At 51.3% G+C, this 20986-nt stretch overlaps 2 long non-coding RNA genes across 42 annotated transcripts in view, besides 1 other annotated feature; one reads left to right on the top strand and one right to left on the bottom strand.

The window, feature by feature from the left end:
- The window catches only part of MIR9-3HG (MIR9-3 host gene), a 36910-nt gene that overhangs the window by 11286 nt on the left and 4638 nt on the right, over nucleotides 1-20986 (top strand). For 4 of the 41 annotated variants that reach the window (NR_190310.1, NR_190322.1, NR_190316.1 and 1 more), the window contains 4 exons: nucleotides 5178-5301; nucleotides 14953-15017; nucleotides 15637-15717; nucleotides 16481-16618. This is a non-coding gene — a long non-coding RNA (MIR9-3 host gene). Of the gene's footprint in view, nucleotides 1-5177; nucleotides 5302-6183; nucleotides 6544-6888; nucleotides 7054-14566; nucleotides 14675-14952; nucleotides 15018-15177; nucleotides 15228-15619; nucleotides 15718-16480; nucleotides 16619-20986 lie in introns of those variants that run through there. The other 37 variants (NR_190324.1, NR_190319.1, NR_190314.1 and 34 more) reach the window with 34 other exon arrangements.
- Nucleotides 4791-6352, bottom strand: LOC107984777 (uncharacterized). The gene is made up of 3 exons (XR_001751651.2): nucleotides 6264-6352; nucleotides 5220-5382; nucleotides 4791-4907 (listed from the first exon to the last, which is right to left on the bottom strand). It is a non-coding gene; the product is annotated as an uncharacterized LOC107984777 (long non-coding RNA).
- Nucleotides 6233-6282: an enhancer, noted in NCBI's record as "active region_10051". NCBI's record gives its function as "activates an Ori minimal core promoter by ATAC-STARR-seq in GM12878 lymphoblastoid cells {active_cell/tissue: GM12878}" and the evidence as "EXISTENCE:reporter gene assay evidence [ECO:0000049][PMID:35858748]".

Raw genomic sequence — 20986 nt, forward strand, 5'->3', positions numbered from 1 at the left:
CAGGACCTTGGGCCAGGCTAATTGGTTTTGGTTCAAGGGGATACTGGATTTGTGAAAAGCTCCAAACCGCCTTTCCCACGCCAGAGCCAGGCCATGGCTTTAAGGAGAAGGGTTCAAGGAGCTTGGGGCCAGGCAAGAAAGCTGAGAATGAGGTGCCTTCAGCTGATGACCCTGCTGTCATGGCCAAGACAGCCCTCTGGTTGGAGAGGGTAGGAAGCTGTTGTGAGGCCACTTCCAGGGGCACCTGCATTTATGGCCTGTCAGGTACTCGAGAGTCAGCTGGATACATTCCTAACCTTCTACACGTGGCTGTGCCAAGAAAGGGGCCTCCTCCTTTGGCATACCTTAGTGGTGGAGAGGCCCCATTTTCTCAAGTGGGATCATCCAGTAAAAGAAGCCAGCAATGGCCAAGTTTAATATTTCTTGCCCCAGGAGCTGGACTAAACCCAGACTTTTATATTCAGGGGGCATCCTGGACTCCATCCTGAGGCAGGTATGCAGTTGGTCTCAAGGTGATAACCCACTTCTGTCTCTTGAAATGTCCTTACACTACCCTGGGCATGGACAAACAAAGCAGAGATGAGAAACAGGAAGCCCTTGGTACTTAAAAAAAAAAGGTCAAATATTTCTATTCTCAAAAGTCCAGCATTAATTATGTTATGATTTAAATCTATCATTATAGATAATTTTAATATAAATGCCTTGAAGCATGTATCTTAAGGTGTACCAGTTACCTATGTGTTTGGACTAAATGGTTTCACATATGTATATATAATATACCCATTCTACGTGTGCATATATATATATGTGTGTGTATACATGGTCTATATACCAAATCATATGCTTATATTAACAATCAGTTATGTTAAGGATGGAGGCAGGGTGGGGTGCTATAAATCATCAGTCCCATTTAAAATAACAACATTGCATTGACTGAGACTAGTGTTTCATGGTTCATTGTGTGTTGAGGGGAGCATTCCTATGTGATCACAGGCTGAAGAAATCCCCTACCTTTTCTATTATCATCCAAATTTTTCACTGTGTTTGCCCACTTGACGCATATAAATAGGAGAAAGGCACTTTGAAGAGATATAGAACTCCGTGTATCACATTTTCCATTTTTATTTCAATTTTTAATTGCCCAGAGCCTAATTTCTGTGGGCCTCTGCTGATTTGCACATTTGAGATTCGTGTGTAAATATGCGTGTGGCATGTGTACACGCCTGGGCCTCCTTATCACAAAGTGTGCTCTCTCAGTGTTTAAATACACACAATCCACATCGACACATGATTATGGGCTTACGTATTTGCTTCTTCTCTAGAATCGGGTTAATTTTCCCTTCGCTAATCCTCAAACCCATTAAGTTCCCCACCTCCCCACCCCCACAAAAAATTGCAAACCCTACCACAGACCAGTGGTCTCACCCCACTTCTCCAGCAAGCAGTTCTCCAGGCGGGGTGCTGGAGTGACGGTTCCTATTAGGCAGACTTCATTAATGTTACCAAATATACCTTGGCACATTTACTCGCCTACTATGAAGTATTACCATAAATAATTAAAATTAAACTGCACTTGTCAAAATAAATGAACAAAGTAGAGTTAGGGATGTCTTTGCCTTGATTTGCTTGGTTTGCTTATTCACTAATTTGAAGAAAGAAAGTGAGAGAAGGAAAGAAAGAACACTGCTACAGACTGCCACGGGATGGGCAGAGGAGATAGGGAGAGAATGCAGAGAGAGAGAAAGAGAAAGAGAGACAGAGCCCTCAGTCATCTCCCCGTGGGTTTCCAGTCATTAGGGCACTCTGGGAGGCTGGAATGCAGCCTTTAACGTCGGCCCATAATGAATATTGAGGTGTGGATATGGAAGGAGGGATTTCTTTGTTTACTGAGGAATGGCCATGGGAGTGGGGGAGAGGATTGCCTTTGGGGATTAAGGAGTGGGCTTTGTTTTTATAAAGGGCCTTACTTCTTTTCTGAAGTTTTCTGCAGCTAATTGATTCAATTCAGACATTCCTCCTCCCCGCCCGGCCCTGGCCTCGTGTTTCTGAGATGTGCACAGCCCCATTTCCCCATCTGCTCTGGCCTCTTTTTCCACTGTGACCCTTGAAAAGGGTGTGAACCTTCACATCAACGAGATCACAGGCTATGGGGAAAACAGTCAGGGGCCGAGACCTTTGTATGGATATGTGTGTGATATAAACGCACATACACATACACGCACATATATTAATAGAGGTATAATTTACACCTAGAAACAGATCATAGGTGTACAGTTCTGTGGGTTCTGACAAATGCATTTATACTCATGTGACCAACACCCAAGATAAACCTCATTTCCTTCATTCCAAAAACTTCTTTCCTACCTCTCAGCAGTCAATCCCTGCCAGTCCCCATTCCGATGTCTCTTACCATAGATTAGTTTTACCTATCTAGAGTTTCATATAAATGGAATGTATGCCAGGGCTTTTGAAAATGAATTTATTTAGAGTCTGGAGGGAGCAATGTCCTGGGAGGCCTGGCTGAGCTTGTGTCCAGGAGCACTGGACTTGTGTTAAACACTGTCCCCTTGGATGGGCCCAGAAGTCAAACCTGTCCATTAGATTTTTTTTTTTTTTCCTTTGGGAGAGCTGGTATGGGCTGGTTGTCCTCCAGGAGAGCCCTGTTCTCACCCGAGGTCTGTTAATGAGCTGGGGACAGGTGAGCCTCACACGTTCCAACTTGGCTGCCTTCAGCGGCATCCAGGAGCAGTGGTGAGCTATTAATGGAAGGTGCCGGCTTTGTGCTAATTAGAACTTCCTTTCAGCTTCCATCTGTGCAGACACTGGAGCCCCTCACTGGTCAGCCTCGCCGTCCCAACCCCCCTCAGTTTGCAACCTAGTTTTTGTCCCCCCCACCCCCCATGAATTAGGGGGTGCTATGAGTGGAGCTGCTTTCCTCTAGCTCTGGTCAAATCCCGGCTCTTTGTGTATTGCAGAACTGTACTGGGTGGTATTTCTCAGGGCTTCTCTCTCTTGTTGGGGTGGAGATGGACCTGGAAGATGGAGTTGGAAAGGGATTTGGGCACCATGGCCACCCTCCTGGGTAGGCTGGACTTACATCATCGACCTGAGTTTGTTTTGTGAAAGACCTCTCTCCTCTGCCCTCTGGAGACTGTGACTTCAGACCCTTGTCCTCTCCATTACCCCAGTCCTGATGTCTCCCAAGTCTGATGGTACCCACCCATGTCAACTACAGCTGCCATCTTTGCCATCTCAGGCAGCCTACAGGTGGGGGCTGTGTCCTTGACCCTCTTCTGAAAAAGAAAAACCTATTTTTTTCCTTCACTTTTGCTTTTTATTTCTTTCACCTCAGGCCCAATGGATATATATATATATATATATATATATACATATATATATATACATATATACATATATATATATATATATATATATATATTTTAATGGAGGTTGTCTCTTACAGAGGTTTCATTGAAAAAGAAGAAACAATGTCCCATTAACGTCATTTAAAGAAAAAGCACCTCTCAGAATGGAGGTTGGGAAAGCTAGGGTTTCTTGCCTGAATATCAGTTGGGATGAAATCCCTTGTAAGGAACTCAAGAGAGGAGCGTTTCCTCAGAATGCTTTCTTTAGCTCCTGAGTCTCCTTAGGTCTCCACTGGGGTTGTGTGTAAAAATACCAAGCCCTCCCTGACAATGCATCTCATTCTCTTCTGCTTGAATTATCCTGATAATGAGAGATCACCCACTTCTTTGACAGTGTAGACTAGGATTTTAAAAATTGGGAGTGAATTATTGGACAGTGTGGCACTTCACCAGCTTCCCTCAAGGTTCTGGATCTATGCTAAAGAGGGGTGGAAATGCTTCTGGGGTGTCCAGAAGGGCTGCAGAAATTCCTCGTCACTGGTCATGGGGAGAGCAGGACTGGCTTGCCTCTGTGGCCTCTTCTGCCTCTGGAGGTGACAATTCCTGATTTGAGGCACTAGGGTGGAAGACTCAGGACTATCCAGGACCAGGTTAATAAACCGGCAGTCCAGATTGCAGAAGGGCAGCAGCTGGGGGCTGGGGACATGCCCATGCCTGTGGGACAGAGTTCTTTTGCATGCTTTGGCCTTTACGACTCTGTATCCTTGACAAGTCACAGGCATCTCTGGGTGAAATGGGGACAATAGTACCCATACCTCCAAGGGTTATGTGAGAATTAAGTAAAATATGCAAATAAAGTGCCTGGCATACAGTAGGCACTGAGCAAACGGTAGCTCTTTTTTCCAGGCTGGGGCAAGGGATGCATATAAATGTCTGGATCTGAAGTTTGAAATTCCACCTGCTGGAGACAGTGAACACCCCAGTAGATACCCCAAATCACACAGAAGGACGGATGACCAGCTGCCTTCTTCCCCCAGGGCATGCCATACACACTGGGCCTGAAGTGGGAGAATCGGGACCCCAAAAAAACGGCTTGTGGAGCGGGGTTGCACATGGGTGTAAAGTTCCCAGCTTGGCTGCCTGGGGAGGGGGAGCATGTAAATGTCTTTAGAGATTTGAAGGGACCAGGATCTGGACTGATTTGCGTTGCCCAGGGGGCTGGGGCTGGGAGCCAAGGGGGTGCTGCCGGGAGGCCCAGGTTAGCTTGGGGTATGGCATTTCTAACAGTTGGCGCCTGCGGAAAATGGCCTGGGGTTCCAGCTCTGGAAGGTTCCGAATCTCAGTATTCACGAGCGGCGCTGTCCGGAGCAGCCAGGGTTGTCCCTTGGTGGTCTCGGGCAGGTTCTCCGCGATGCGCTTGCTGGGTCGCAGGTGAGAACCTCACGGTTCTCCATTTCCGGAGATCCAGCTCTGAGCAGGCAGAGGGTCGCTCCCGTCGCCTGCCCCTGCGGTAGCCAAGCGGGTGGCTGGAAGCGTGGCTAGCTGGCAGGTAAGGAGCTCCAGGTGAGACGGAACACGACCCCCAACCCCCTTAGCCGGTGCCCCACCCGATTTCTCTCCTGCGTCCTGGGAGGGCATGGTTGAGGCGCCACCGGTGCCCAGCAACCTCCCCAGGCTGTGGTTGTGACCTGAGGACGCGTGTGTCCCCGCCCTCAGGCCACCGCTACGCGACCCTGAGTGCACCTTCAAGAAGGCCGGGCACGTTTCTGGGCGGGCGTGGGGGGTGCCTGATATCTCCGCTCTATTTTACAGTTACTCCCCTGCTGGTGCCTCCCTCCTTGGCGCGCTTCCCACCTGCGATCGGCGCCCTCTTCGCAGTCACGAACTCGCCAGCAGCTAGCAGCACTGACTAGTAGGAGGGCCCGCCGGAGGAGAGGTGAGCGACCAGAGCCAGGGAGTGGGTGGAGGAGCTGGCTGCCCGCACCCGCACTCCGCTCCAGATGTCTCAGAGAGTGGACTGCGGGTTGGGAGGTTGGGAAATTCCAGGATCAGGTTGGTAGTGCGCCTGTGTTTTTACCTGGGTCACCAGCAAGACGACTCCCCTCCTCCCTAGGCCCGGATCCAATGTCATCCCTCACCCTCAACCTGTGAAATGGCTTTAACCATACACCTGCTGGCTTGTTGTGCTCTGTGACATAATTTGGCAGAACACGGCGTGTAGCACACAGTGGGCGCAAAGTAAATGGCGGCTCTGGCGGTTCTAGCACCGGAGGCGGCTTCTTGGACACCCGGCGTTCGCGGGAGCCTGAGGCGCTCGGTTGCTAGAGCCTTAGCTGGGAGTGGCGCGGCTGCTTCCCGCCCGCGCAGGATCAGGCCGGCCCCCGCGGGCCTGGAGCTGGATCCAGAGCTAGGGAAACTGGAAAAACAGGCACAAACTCGGAAGCCGCGGTACGGCAAGAGCCTAAGCAAAGAATCCTTTCCAAGATTCACACCTCGTCTACACCAGGGCACCGCCTGGGCCTACGGCCTTCCGAACCCGAAGCGCCCGCAGCCCAGAGCTGGCATCAGGCCATCAGGCCGGGAAGGTCGTCGCAGGCCCCAGAGTGCGGGCGCGGGGGGCGCGCGCCCACAGGACGCCCGGGGTTGGGTAGGCAGGAGAGAAGGGCGCCAGCAGGCCCGCGGCTGTTTCCCCTCGGTCCGCACAGCGGGCCCGGGAGGCCATTTTGAGAGCGCGAAGAGGGGCGGCAAGATGGCTGCGTGGGCACCCGGAAGGTCGCCGCGCCAAGGGCCCGCTGAGCCCCTCCTCCCATTCGTCCAGCCGCGCGGCCCACAGAAGCGGAACGCGCGTCGAGAGCGCCCTGTCCGCTCGCCCCAGACAGATGCCCGGTTATTCATTACCGCGAGGCCTAGAGGAAAGAGTGGCTGCCGTCTTCCTGCCCACAGCCCGCCGGACCCTCCGTCGCGGCTGCCCGGTCCCCGGAGCCGCAGCCGCCGAGCCCGGCTGTGCGTGTCGTGGCTGCTGGGGAGAAAGAGGCTTCCGGTAAGAGCCCCCCTGACTGGGCTGCCCACCCCGGGCAGGGGCGGAAACGGCCTTCCCCGCGTGGGGAACAATGGCGTTATTTTGGAGTCTGCAACCGCGAGCGCTTCAAGCTCTTTGATTATTTTCGAGGAGTGTTAGGTGCGTGGCTAACTCCCGCGTTTTCTTGGAACCACGAAGCCCAAAATGGCGAGCGGGCCGTGGCCGCCCTCCTGGGGCTGAGTGTGGTCCGGAGCGCTGAGAGTGGCCAGGGAGCCGTGGGCCTCCATCGTCCCTGTGGTTGGGACTGAGGACCGGCCTGGAGGCTCCATTCACACCATCGCAGGGCAGGCTGGGGGTCAGATGCGGATGAAGCGGGCCGGGCAGTGGAGCTGCATGTTTGAGCTTGCCCTCTCCAGGCCTAAGGGCCAGAGCTTCTGCTCTTCTGCCTTCTTTGCTCCTATCCTACCCTCGTGAATAATTTAAGCACAATCACTGTTTTTCTAGCTGTCCGCATTGACCCACCGCGACCTCGAAGCAGGTCCCAGGCGTGTGCATTTATATGCAGAGTGACCAAGAAACTTCAGTAATACTAGTTTGTGTCTTTGGAGTCCCACTTTTTGCCAGGGCTAGTGCTAACAGCTTCAGGAGAATTCAGCCTCACCTTGACAGGTAGGGTGATGATTCACTATTTGTGGCTTTTGCCGTAGCTAGGATGTGGCAGAGCCGGTTGTGGACTCGGGGCTATCTGCCCCAAGGCCTGCGTTCCCAACCTGTCTCTCTGCACATACACAGGAACACAGGGATTCATCACCGCTGTGGTTTCATCTTTCAGATAAGCACCAAGCCTTTCCTGAATCCAAGTCCCCATCCCCACACAGCCCTGCCTCACAAGTGAGGCATCCCCCAACCTCCCAGTCTAAAGCCCTGGCCTCAGATAGATTGTGTGACTGAATAATGTGTTTGTTCTGAGCTTCCTGGCAGCCAAGAAAAGCAAACATGATGGTTTATAACCTTGTTTTCAAAATGAAGCTCATCAGGATTTTAGAGAGATGAACATTTTTCCTGCATAAGACTTATAGAAAATGTAAAGCTTAGTGATTATGTAGGTCAACTGCTCATGTCACGGATGAGGAACCAGGTCCAGAGAGGTTAAGTGATTTTCACCAAGGTCACAAAATTAGCTCATACAGTGAGGACTGAGACCCAGGGGTCCTGACTCCCAGTCCAGTTCCCATCCTCTCATGACCAGGCTTTAGTGGGCTTCTCAACTTGGAGATAGTTTAATTGTGGTCTAGCGACTCCATTCCTCACTATAAATTGCTGAGACCTGGATGCTGCCTTGTTCCTTTCTTTGCCCCCAGTTCCTAGTGCTGGGCTGGACTCATCATTGTGGGTGTCTAAATATTTGATAATTGAGTGGGGCTAAAACTTCTGATAATGAGGGGATGGGGGCGGTGGTAGAGGGGAAGTCCCTGACTTCAGTTTTCTAGGGGGCCTTTTTTTTTAATGTTAGGTTCCTGATCCTTAATTCCCTAGGTCTCTCTCCTGGCAAGTGGTACGAGGTGGGTAGTGTGTTTTCCCTTTTGGCAGTCATCCTATTCCTAACTGCCCCATCACATTATTGAACCTTATAGGAAAGGGTCATTTGTGTCTTGGGGGACTATGTTGTCAGTGACACCTGCAAGTCCCTTTAGGTGAACTGAGGGAGGTTTCCCCACCAGCACAATGGCCATGAGACCTGGCCGACTCATTCTTTTATCCTCTTTGGGTGGAGAGTCAGCCTTTCTGTACTTGCTCAGGTTTGATTCCCATGGCTTAAGTACAAATCACAGAACGTGGCTTAGATTAGTAAATTTCCATGGCTCCCAAAAGGTAGCCTTTGAATCCCTGGCATGATAACTGTAGGTGCTGAATAAATTTAGTGACCCTGCAACAGACCAGATTCTCTGGAATTCTAGGCTGGAAAGGTGTCACCCCTGGATGTGGGGAGGGTTATGCTTCTTGATGGGAGCCCCCGTTGGTAGAAAGGCTCCAACAGATCCTGGCCAAATTCTGTCATCTTTGGGTAGAATCTGCATGGGCAAAGCAGAGTAGGTAACTAGGGCTTGTTTGCAGCTAAAGCCCCAGCTGTGGAAGAAAAACAGGGTTCAGCTCCCCAGATTAGTTACTGTCTACAAGGATTAAAGGCCCCAAATAATGGCTGGCTTCTCCCCTCCTCTGTGCCAAGGGAAGACATGTAAATACAGCCCCACGCCAGCTTAGGCAGTAGATGTGTATAAATCGAATTTAGCAAATCAGATCATGGTTTAAATGCACTATTTAAAGCAGTCCTGCAGTGAAGCCTTTTACAAAGGGAATAATCATTTTGTGATGCTAATCATCAGCCTCCAATTTATCTCCTTTGTAAGTTCAGATGTTGGTGCACTGGGTGTTCTGAAATTGGGGCGCTCTTGTGTAGGGCTCTGGTGATGGCTGTCTGCCTTTTTCTGACCTCTCGTTTTAAATGGGTGCATGTCCTGTTTCTCACTGGGGGCCTCAGGATGCTTGTCACTTAGCCTGATAGTTCTCATCTGTCCCACTTATCTTTTTATAATCTGATAGAGCCCACCGTTCAGCTGCTCCTGGCTCCTTTTTTGAGACTTTTGCCCTTCCTGGGGAGAAATACAAGCCCTGCTGTTCTTGAGGTGTTAAAACCAGCTCCCTCTCTGAGCTGAACTGCCTTTTGTTTCCCTGAGCTTCTGGTACCTCTGGTGCAGATCAGAAAGATGATCTTAGAGTCGACCAGATAACACAAATCAGCCCTGAATTTAGAAGGCGAATTAAATGCAGCCACCCATTTGCTGAATAGGCAATATCCAAAATATTCTCCCCATTCACGGCAAAATAACTGAGGCCTGGATGTTAAAGTGACTTTTCCCACAAGTTAAAATCAGGACTCCAAGGAGAACCTGTCTCCCAATTGCTATAAAAGTGTTTTATATGCTGAGCTGTAGTTCCTTTCTCTGCAGAGAAAATATAATCAGAGACCATCTGGGTGGGAGAGAAAGAACGAAGAGAAAGAAATGGATCAGAGTGGAATAAAGGAAGTGGGAAGGAAGCTGGGGGGCTTCGAGGAGCCTGACCTTGCTTAGCTTACAGGCCCTGATATAGTGTCTTTGTCAATGCTGCCACTATTGACGCGTTCCTCGGTAATTATGACTGTGTGTTGGCATGGCGACTCGGAGTAAGAAGACTAGAAGCACTGGGTAAATGCACGACTTGTTCTTGCCTTCTAAAGCAGAGAGGAGCTTTTGTGGGTAGTTCCTACAGGGATACATGGTAGAAAATTCACCAAACCCAGTGCTGGAGTGTATTTACACCCCATAGGAGCCAGGTGGCCCTGAGCATAGATTGTACAAATAGAGGTCCTTAGCAAGACTGGCATCTAATGCAGAGGTCTCCCAGAGCCTCCCTCTTGTGTCTTCCTGTTGGTCTTTGTTCCTTAGCCTTGTAATGTCAAGTATATTCATTTCTGCTCATTTCTGGGTTGTCTGTTTCAAAATAGGTTTATGTTGCAGTCTCCCTGAATTTGATTGATCATAAAATTATCTATTTCATAGGCCATGACTATGTATTTGGAAACTGAAGGGAAAGGCTGATGGGCACAGCTGGGGCTTCCCTTTCTATCCTTGTGTGCTTTTCTTAGATACTTGGACCACATTCTCATCCTCTTCTGAAAATGGGGAGAAGTTGCTGTTGTCAAGAGCTGTGCTGTCCTTTATGATAACCACTAGACACACATGCTATTGATCTCATGAAATGTGGTCAGTGTGGCATGTTGAAATGATAATGTTGGGTTAAGTACAATATATTGTTAAAATGACCTGTTCATTCTTACTTTTTAATGAGGCTTCTGAAACATTTAAAATTATACTTGGAACTGACATATTTTCACTGGACAGTGAGGTCTACACTAGATGCTCAAGACCTCCTCCATCCCCAGTGCTTAGTAACTAATCCTGATCTCCCCCCAGGAGGCCTCTGGCCACACAGGGTTCTGTGCATAGAGGTCCATGGAAAAGCTAGAGAGGAGGCAAGTAGAGAGCCTCGGGCCTTAAGGGGCTTTTAGGAGTGCCTAGTTCAGCCCTTTAAATGGGGATTACCCCCCAGTCCTTGGAGGCAGAAGTCGTGGCTTGAATCTGCAGGCAACATTGTATTTTTCAGCATTTAAGGTGGGGACAAGGCAGCCAATGGGTAAACCCCAGAAGAGTCTTTGGATGAAGGTTTAGCACTGCCCCAGTGGAGTTTGAATGGGCACAGCTGTAGATAACAGGAGGGTCGTCCTCCTTCCCCTGTCCCTAGCAGTGATTTCATAGTCTCCCAGATGTGCAGAAACCACAGGGCATGGGAAGGCAGCCATGCATCCCAGGTTCGTGCCAAACCCACTTTCAGCAGGTTTGTTTCCTTTGGCCCGAGGGCTCCTTGTCGCCCCTCTCCTGGCTGCCCCTCCTCCCCTCAGCCTGTGCTGCTCTCCGTGAGCTTGGAGCTTCTGGGATGCGTCTTGGCTCAGAGCCAGCGTCTTCTTGGAGAGGCCTCCTGCCCTGGCTCCCTGCCAAGGCTGAGGGCCTCAGAGAGATTTTCCAGGGAGATGCTGGGCTCATACTGCTGTCAAAGGGCAGAGGGGCCTCAGTTAGCCTTCTGCCCTTGGAGGACCCCTGGCTGTGGGTCTGGGCTTGCCTCCAGCCCCCTTTCCCCCTCAGAAACTCCAGTTTCCTCCCCTGGAAACCCTAGACTGAGTTAAGGGCCTTCCAGCTCCAGTAAGCCTTGAGTTTATAAAAAGAAGGCCCCTCACATGAGCCTGGGAGGTAAGGAAGGGGCATCGGGGAGGCCATAATGAGTCATGACGATGGGGACAGGAACCATTTACTGAGCACTGACTCTGCCAGGTTCTGTGCTAATGCTTTGTATATTGTATCTCTTTTGAGGGCCATCTCTTGGGGAGAAAAAAGAACAGTAAATCTGACCAGGGATTTGCCCTTCTTTTCTAAGCCAAATGCCATTTGGGTGACTGCATGGGGTGTGTTACAGGAGCTACAAACCTTGCATAGGAGGGACTATCAGCCCCCAGTGAGTCCTTGTCTCCCAGAGAATCAGCCTGGGCTTTGGGAAGCAGCATGAGTTCATTTGCGTTGCCAAAGGATGCCTCTGCAGTGTTTCCTGCTTGAGGCTGGCAGTACACCTGGAGAATCAAGATGGGAGGGCTCCATGCTGGGCCCCTGGGAGCCTTGGTGCGGTGCTAGAGGGGTGAGCAGCATACCACCCGGTCTGGATTCATCTCCTAATTGTGTGCCCCATATCCTTGCTGTGCCTCAGTCTGTAAAATTAGGGGGTTGGCCCAAGCCTACCAGCCTGCCCACAGTGCCAAGGGATTGTGGCTGCTCGGGATGATGCTGGCCTTTTACTTTCTGCAATGTTATATCCCCCTGATGTAGCACGTATGATCTTCTGGAGGAGGGAAGGGGGCCCACATCCTCTGTCCCATCTCATCTTGTCCTTAAGCAGAGAATATCAAGCCTTCCTCCTATCTGCCCAGTTCTGCACCATAGCTCCTGCTGTCTCCTTAGGTTAGGAGAGGTGGCACATGCCTCTGAAGGCATGTTACATCCTTGATGAGTGCTGGGGGAAAAGGGAGTAAAGAAACAAGTCTCAAGTTTATAGCCACCCCTTCCCTTTGAATCTGTAGCTTTTACCCAGTATTGAGTCCACTGTTCTCTCTTCTACTGTGGGTCACAGACTCCAAGACCATGGTGGTGTGAGGCAGAGGCAGTGTGGCCCAGTGGGTATCCAGGTGGAGGGGTTGGTCTGACCTAATTCAGAACCCACAGGACACCCCTTCCCCTCTTCCTCTGAGCCAGTTTTCCCATCTGCAAAATTGGGAATAGTAATACTTACCTTGTGACACTCAAGATGCATCCCCCATCTTGCTGGTCTGTCACGAGTAAAGGCCAGGTAAGGTGGCCAGCAAGGGACCAGGGTCAGTCAGCTCTCTGTTAGTCACTCTACAATAAGCTGTGGTGTTTACAGACCAGCCATAAGCTCTGCAGTGCAGGGAGAACCCCTGACCTCTAGGAGCAGAGAAACTAGTATTGCTAGCCTAAGGCAGCACAAAAAATCCAAGGGGCAGATTGTTTTGATGTTTTGTCTCTGTCCTTGGGAGTTAAGAGAAGAGGAATTAGATTGAGGCGGAGAAGCCTCACTGTGCCCAAACAGGTCTTCTAGGCTGTTGAGAGGGCAAGACAGGGCATCCCTACCAATGGGGAGAACTCTCTGACCAGGACCTTAGAGGTGGAGATGAAGCGGGAGGAGGAGTCCTGCTGGACTGGGCCTGAGATTTGGGTATAGGTCAGGTCAGATGGTGGAGGATAAGAATGACAGAGGTAGGGAGCAGGCTAAGAGAATTGGTATGGTCACCATGTGCAAGATGGGTGGGCACTGGAGGCTGTCAGGCCTTGTGCTGCCCAGGCCAACCTGAGCTGAGCAGCCACACCCATCCTGTGCCACTCACCTCTTATGGTTCCTGGCCTGGACGTCAGCAGCCCCAGGGCTGTGCTGTGGAGCCATTTCCCACTTTGCAAGGGAACTGCGCGGCTCTGAAATTGGAAGTCTTCCCATGCCACACTGTATTTTTTCTTACCACACTCATTTATTCATTCAATGTCTATTGACCACACATTATGTGTCAGCCTCTGGGCAAGGCCCTGGGGATACAGAGAGGGAAACCACATTCCCTGGCCCAGCACTTTCGCTTGTGGTGTGGAAAGGCATACATCCATCTAGAGCTGGAAGGCCGGGCTAGCGGGGGTGGCGTGCTAGACTAGCAGGCACTCCGGGTCTGACACTTATCATCAGTTTGTGGCTTATTGGCTTTCCTGCCCCTCTCCATGTCCCAAGAGCCTGGGAGAACAGGGTCAGAGGCCATGTCATGCTTTGCCCGTGATGACCTTAAGCTGTCGTTTAGCCTCAGCTAGAACTGTAATTCTCTAGATTGCATTGTTTCTGTATAGAATTGTGACATTTCAGTTTCCCTTTCTTCATTTAAAAAGACACCTTTTTTTTTTTTTTTTTTTTTTTATGAGACAAGGTCTTGCTCTGTCAGCCAGGCTGGAGTACAGTGGCCTGATCATAGCTCACTATAACCTCGAACTTCTGGCTCAAGCAATTCCCCTGCCTCAGCCTCCAGAGTAGCTGGGACTACAGGCATGTGCCACCACAGCCAGACTTTTATATTTATTTTATAAAAATAAAAAAATATGTTTTATTTTGTAGAGACAGGGTCTTTGTTGCCCAGGCTGGCCTCAAACTCCTGGCATCAAGCGATCCTCCCACCTGGGCCTCCCAAAGTGTTGAGATTACAGCATGAGCCACCACACCCAGACTAAAAGGCAGTTTGATTTTACAAATCAAAATAGCAGTAATCTATGGAGATTTACTTGTGAGATTGGTAGGAAACATCTTAAATGTAATCAAACAATAACTTACATCTTGATGAATTCACGTGTAGGTTTCTCTTCCTCAGAAGAAATCAGATGCTGTTCAGAGCACGAAGGCTAGAATTTTACCCTGGTTCTCATGCTACCTTGCACCCAGGTTGGATCCTGAGTACAGTTTTTGGCAGGTGGGCCTGCATATAAGTTAGCAATGGGGGATACCCAGCTGCCTCTCTTCATACAGCTGAGGTTTTGGGGAGTCATTCTTATAGCCCCTGGGTTGGGCCTAGTCCTGCAAATGAATTCACCAGCCCTAAAGCCCAAATTGCAGCCTCTGTCATTCACCTTCCAGGAGTGGAAAGGGCAGTAAGTTTCATCTTATTATTATTGCTATTTTGGTGGTTTTGTTGAGGTTGGTGTGTGTATGTTAGTAAGATAAAGCTCTCAGAAATTACATAGCATTTGTCAAGGATATAAGAGGGACTGTGCCACATCTGGCTGTATAGAAGGTGGTTCCATATCTTTAAATAGAGCCCCAGGTCCTTAGCCACCAGAAAGGTTTTCAGGGGAAGTGTGCACCCTCAGCAGCTGCTGCTGGTGGGCAGGATGGGCACGCATGGAACAGGCTTTCCTCTGTGGCCAGGTGAGAAGCAGGTGGTGAGACACAGAGCAGTGCTGGGCTCTGCTTCTGAAGCCTCCAACCTTTCCTTCCCTAGGAAGCCCCAGAGAGATTGGTGAGGGTGATTTCCCAGGAAGACGCAGTGTGCTCTGACTTCTGTGACAGTGAGCAACGGGACCAGTGGATGTCCAGATGCTGGCAATGAGTAGGCCTTCCCTACGCTGGGTGGCGTCCACACCCTCCGGCTTCCATTGCCTGGGTCTCCTGGAGGTGGTTTGCTGGATGAATACCGCATGCACAGAGGCTGGCCTTGGGTTTGAATATGGCAGCCAGTGGACAGCATGTGCTTCAGTTATGAGACTGCCCAGGAGATGCTTCTTCCAAGGCAGAGCACGTGCAGAGTCCAGTGCTGGAGAGGCCGGGTGCGCAGTTGACCCATTTCCAGTTCTGTTTTCCCTCTCATGTTCCTCTGTCCCCATCTAGGACATGCTCTGGAGTCAGAAGACAGCGAAAAGAGAAGCAGAAGCCCCGGTGGCAAGAGTCTGAAGGTGGGTTCCTTCCTGACATGGGCATTGGGCTGCGCATGTGTGTTCGCAGTTCTTTCCAGCTGCTGTTCTGACCTCTTTGTGCAGTGTATTTATGTGGCTGTAGATGGATGGTCCAAGGTAGATTTAGGTTTTGGAATACTGTTTTTTTTTTCTACTTCAGGGAGAAAATAACCCAGTTTGGGAAGGACATTTAAAAGGGGAAAATATTAGGTATGATGGCACACCTGCAGTCCCAGCTATTCGGGAGGCTAAGGCTGGAGGATCACTTGAGCTCAGGGGTTTCAGGCTGCAGTGAGCTATGATCACGCCACTGTACTCCAGCCTGGGTGACAGAATGAGACCCGTCTCTAAAAAAAATGTAATTTAATTTAAAAAGGGAAAATATCCTTGGTGGTCCTTGGAACCAGCACTTACCAGGTTGACCCATATGAAATTTCTTTCTTGTTGATGAAAAATAGTCAAATATTGGCAATTTCTTATGGTTCAACATGTTACAGTTCCATTCCTCTGGGATGGTAGAGGGATCCCCAGAAACACATTTTAAAGAGTTTCTGATACTTTAACCATTTGTGTTCCTCTTCATCCTACGATACCCTTCACAGAATTTTTTTTTTAACAGCAGGAAGGATGACTGTAGCCTGTGGATTGTACTGCAGTAGGAAACTGTCCTAGCAAGGCTCCACTTTGCCCCAGCTTCAAGGTATATCGTCTCAAAATGCAGGGGACTTCAGATGAGTTTTGAGCACCCTTTCTTTTATTATAAAAAAAATTCCAGACAGTTCAGCCAATACTGACTAAGGGCTGAGACCAGTTCCATGCTTTTCTGTCTCCAGAGGAATTTGCTTCCATCTGGATGCCTGAAACGGTATTTTACTTCACCTCCTGTGTCACCGGCAGCAGTCCTGGGAGCCCTGGGGAGGAGGTTTTTGGGAGAGCCAGCTCACAGCCTCTCCATCACCTTTTAGCCACCCCAGTGCTGGGCAGCCAGGGTGTGGGCTTTTGACTGAATGCACTTGCCCTCCTGCATTCATTACACCATTGTCAGTGTGTGTGTCTGGGGCTGCCTCTGGGTGTGCATGGTTTTTTTTGTGTCTGCGTGTCAGTGTCAGGCTATGTGTGTCTGTTTCTGTCGGCCTGTCTAGGCGCGCTCAGTGCAACAAGGAGCTGGGGGAGGTGGCGGTAAAGAGGAAGGGCATTTCAAAGCCCAGCTGTCCTCCTCAGGGACCTCAGGAGATGCGTGTGTGTGTGTGTGTGTGTGTGTGTGTGTGTGTGTGTGTATTTTTTTCCATGCTGCTCATTGTGTGGGGCTGCATGCGAGTGTCTGACCAGGTGTGGTGTGAGCAGCCGCTGGGCTGGGTGAGCCCCATCTGCCGTGAGCTCCCAGACTTGCCTTCTAGCCCTCTGCCGCCATCCATGGGGAGCCTCTCCCTTCGCAGCTCACCGTCTCTTCTCTAATTTATTAGCTGGAAAGGAGGAGAACATGAAACATTGCTTGAAGACAATGGCCGAGACAGCAGGTCCCACCCTGCACAGCCACCAGCATCTCTCCCCTCAGCCCTGTCTCCTCTTCTGCAGTTGGGATCTGCACATTTAAGCCTGAAGTAAGAATAAAACAAACCCCCAAACCACCCTATTAAAAAATGTGCCTGGCCTTGGACATGCAGAGGTAGCTATAAACTGTTAAAGGTGGGAGAGGTCAACAAAATGAAGGTTTGAGCCTTCTTCTACTCTGGGGCCCCCCACCTCTGAGTCCCAGCACTTCCCCCCAGCTCCAAGCCAGGTTGAGGGGGGGCAGGGGGGCAAGGGGGCCCAAGGCAGCTGCAGGGGCTGTGTTAGTAAACACTTTCCTGGGTTCCCATTTTCTTTACACCCCCCACCCTTCTCTACTCCCTGATGCCCCGTTATACACTCCCACCCCCAGCATCCCCTTTTCTGTGGCCTGCACAATGAGCTCATTGTCCCGGGTGTGATTTGAATAAGGGATCGGTGGGCCTGTTCCCAGCATTGTCCAAGGGGCTGGGAAAAACCCCAGCGCAGGCAGGAGGACCAGACCAGACAGAGACAGATGCCTAAATTAGCAACAAAGCTTTGTGCACGTCCCCTGGACAAGGGCTCGCCTTGTTTGCGTGGACTCGAGGGTGTGGAGCTGGCCGGCTGCTCGCATGTCTCCCCATGTTAATTAGTTTTGCATGCATGTCTGAGAAGGTGCCAGGGGAGATGTGTTTGCCTTTCCCCGGGAGGGGGCCCTGTTTGTGGCTGGCCAGTAGGCTGGGGTCTTGGAGCTGATATGGGCTGGGCCTACCTGGGGAGCCAGGCTCTGAGCCTGGCTGGGGAATCACGGCTTTCCCATCCTGTAGTTCTGTCTCTCTGACCTCTGGGGGGCCTGGCTTTGCTCCCTGTGCCTTCTCCCTGCCACCCCTCCATGTTTGAAAGTTGGTCAGCTCTGACTACTGGGACTCACTGGCTTCCTCCCAGACCCAGGCCAGTGCCTGTCCATCTGGCAGTCTGTCTCTTGCGACACAGGGCCCCTCGGGACCGGGCAGCAGAAACAGCCAGTCTGGACTCTTCTCCGTCCCCGAGCCAGATGGCCAGTCTGCTGATCGCATTACGGCCTCCCCTGTCCCCAGACCCCTGCCGCCTGTGGTTGGACCAGGATCTTGTGTGGGATATGATGGAGAAGCTCCCTTTTAGGACCTCCTAGAGGCCTGGCCCTGAAAGGAAAGGGGTCTGGTAGACAGGGCGTAAGGCATGTCCTTGCTACCAGCTTCTATGTGACCTCAGGCAGGCCAAGTGACCCCGACTCCTGAATCTTAGTTTTCTTGTTGGCAAGAGGAGTGAGTGGAGCTTCAGGAATCTCTTGGCTCTCTTCTAGCTCAGAAAACCTCTGATGGTGGTAGCAGTGGTGATCACTTCAAAACTGTGTTGATGTAGCATTCACTGATGTAGCACAATGACAGGAATGGGACTAATGAATTCTGGCTGGGGTGGAGGGGAGTGTTGCAGGAAGGAGTTCATCCCTGTTGATATTCAGTGTGGGCTCCTGTTTTCAGAGTGTGGGGAGGACCAGGAGCAGGCAGAGCCTGTCTTCCCAGGTCTTCACAGAGGAGCCCTTCCCCATCCCTACCCTGCAGTGGTGAGAAGCAGGCCCTGGCCCAGCAGAAGGGAGCTTGGCAGTGGCAAAGAAGAAGCTGGAGGGATAGCAGCTGCTGGCCAGGGCCCTGGGTGTGTCCTGGTTGCCCCTTGCAGGTCCTGGGATGGGGTTGGTGGGGGTGGGCAGGGGACAGGGCTGAGAAGGGTCAGGGTTCATCTGGAAACTTCAGAGTGGGAACTCTCCATAGCCCTTCAGAATAACCCCAGGTGGTGGGTGGGGAGTGGGATGAAGCATCACCCTGCTATTCAGTGCGGGGGTCTCAGGTTCAGCGGTCAGGGTGTCTGGCTCCTTCTTTGCCAGCCTCCCCATCTCTGGCACCCTCCCACTCTCTCATCAGGTGTTGTGGGATGTATCTTGCACTGGGGCCAGGCAGCTGACCAGAGCCACCCACAAGGAGCCTCTGGAATTAACCTCAGGTAGCCACTCAGGCCAGGCAGGGGAGAGACCCTGGGCCTCCCTTCCAGCAGGGACCTTCCTTCCCATGCTGCGGTGCCAGCCAGTTCCCACATGCAGTGCACTTGTTCCTTCCATTTGGGCTGCCTTTCCCCTCTCCGCCTCTCTCTCTCTTTCTATTTCTGTTTCTGGGGGACCTCTTTTTCTACCCCTTTCCCTGTCTCCCTGAGCTGCTCCTAACTCAAGCTGGATAACTGGTGGTAAATTCCAAAGCTCAATGAAGAAAAGAGGATAGAAGTTAGCGCTTCATGGCAAGGATAGAGTGAGAGAGTTGCCTACAGTATCGGTTGGGAGAAGAGGCAGGGCAGCAGGGCCTTGGGAGAGCTGCCCACTGCCCTCCCTGCCCCTCCCCATTCCTACCTCCCAGGGTTTAGCCGCCTCAGCTGTAGCTCTGAGCTCCTTAATCTGGTGATCCTTGTGGTGCTGGGGGGCGGGCTGGCAGAGGCTTTAGGAGGTGACAGGGGATCTTGGGAGTCGCACTCTGCTAACAGAGTGTCATGCAAAGCTGGAGAATCACATTCCGAGCGCAGCTCCTCCTTCTAAGGCAGTGGCCCGGCAGGGCTGGACCCAGCACGGGTGGTGCCCAGTGGAGGGCTGAGGCACAGGCCCTGCACGCAGTCGGGCATCACCTCCTCTTTGTCGCTCAAGAGGAAAGTTCCCAAGATTAGGGCTTTCTGGCCCTTTCTGCATGGCTAAGATTTCATTGTTTGGTAGCTGCCCCCACCCTTACCCCAGCTCCCAAATCCTCTGGCTGCCAATCCCAGTTAGAAGAAGTCTCTGTAAGTCACAGGTATCATCCCCCTGGTCAGCTGTTGGGGTAGTCAGGGGTGGGGATTTGTCTAGAACTAAGCAAGTATGCCGGGTGGAATGGCTCCCCTGCCTAGATGAGAAGGGGAGAGAACCCCTGAGATGAACCCCTGATTCTCTCAGCGATGGGCCCTGAGAGAAGCCAGGAGAGACAGGAAATTGAGGTGGGGGTGCAAATGCAAGCGCAAGTGGTTCTGAGGCATCCAGCTCAGCAGAACCGGGGCAGCCCAGGCCTTGGACCTTGGCTGGAGGGTAGGGACAGAGGAGAAGATGCTGTGGGTCGAGGCCCAGGGCTCTGCTTCTGCCATGACTCTGCAGCAGACCCTGGATGTCTCAGAGCCTCCAAACCCTCATTTGTAAAATGAGCATCATAATCCCTACCTCCATTGGAGCTGCTATGAAGACTCTTGGGCACACGGGAAACACTCAGTGGGGTTAATTTTTCTTCTCCTTTTCCCTTAGATATGGGGCAGAGATGAAGGAGTTAAGCTTCTCCAGGTCACTTAAGATAGCTGAGATTTGGGGAATGGGGACAGTGGTGATATTCAGAATATTTAACCACCTGTACAGGTTGGGCACCAACCAGTCAGAATGACACCTGGCCCAAATCATCACCCAGGGAGGAGGGCACAGCTGAGCAGAACTTCTCCCTATATCTTTCTGCCCCATCATGAGTCCATTTATCAGCAAGCATACAGACATCCCTTGAGGGCAGCTCCTGAGGAGGTTGCAGGATGCGGGATCCTGAGATCTTTGCATTCAAGCAAGTCAGGCCTAGCATGGGGCACCCTGCCTGACCTGGAAGAGGACCCGGAAGCAGAGGGCAGTGAGCTGAGGGCCTTCCCAGCTCCTGCCCCAAGCTGGCAGCAGACCTGCCACCAGGCTCTGGGGAAGAGCTGCTTCTGTGGGCTTTCGCCATCCTCACGTCCCCTAGAGCTGCCCCCTCCTTCCTGTCCCTTCTTCTCAAAAGCACCATGGGTCAGGATTAGAGGGTCTGTTTGTTCTCTGATCTAACTCCTCGTGCCTGTTTCTTCATCAGCCTGGGGAAGTTCATGGTTTCTGTTATCTGACTGTGGAGTATGGGAGTGTGGTGTTGGGGTAGTGTGGAGCCATGTTCTATCATCATGGAAAGATTCTGGCCTCAAGGCAGGCAGCGTCTTCCCCCAGCCCCAGGCTTTCTGAGGCCACACCTGGACACGTGGTGCACTTAGCCAACACTGACTTATTTTACCTGGCCTATCTCTTTGCCTTGTTGGGTGAAATTAATGCCTTTGAGGGCCTAAGGTGGTCTGGTTAAGTGACAAGGGCATAGGAAGACACAACCTTACCTAGCTGGAAGTCAGAGATTTGGACTCTAGCCCACTTTCCCACTGAGTGGTCTTGGGCAAGCCACCTCCTTTACTGGATCCAGAAAAGTAGCATTGAGCCAGGTGTAGTGGCTCACACCTGTAATCCCAGTAACTGGGGAGGCTGAAGTAGGAGGCTCTCTTGAGGCCAAGAGTTTGAGAACAGCCTGAGTTTGAGAACAGTGAGACCCTATTCTTAAAAAATGAAAAAA

Source organism: Homo sapiens, chromosome 15 (genome assembly GCF_000001405.40).
Source record: "Homo sapiens chromosome 15, GRCh38.p14 Primary Assembly".
In the NCBI taxonomy this organism is placed as follows: domain Eukaryota; kingdom Metazoa; phylum Chordata; class Mammalia; order Primates; family Hominidae; genus Homo; species Homo sapiens.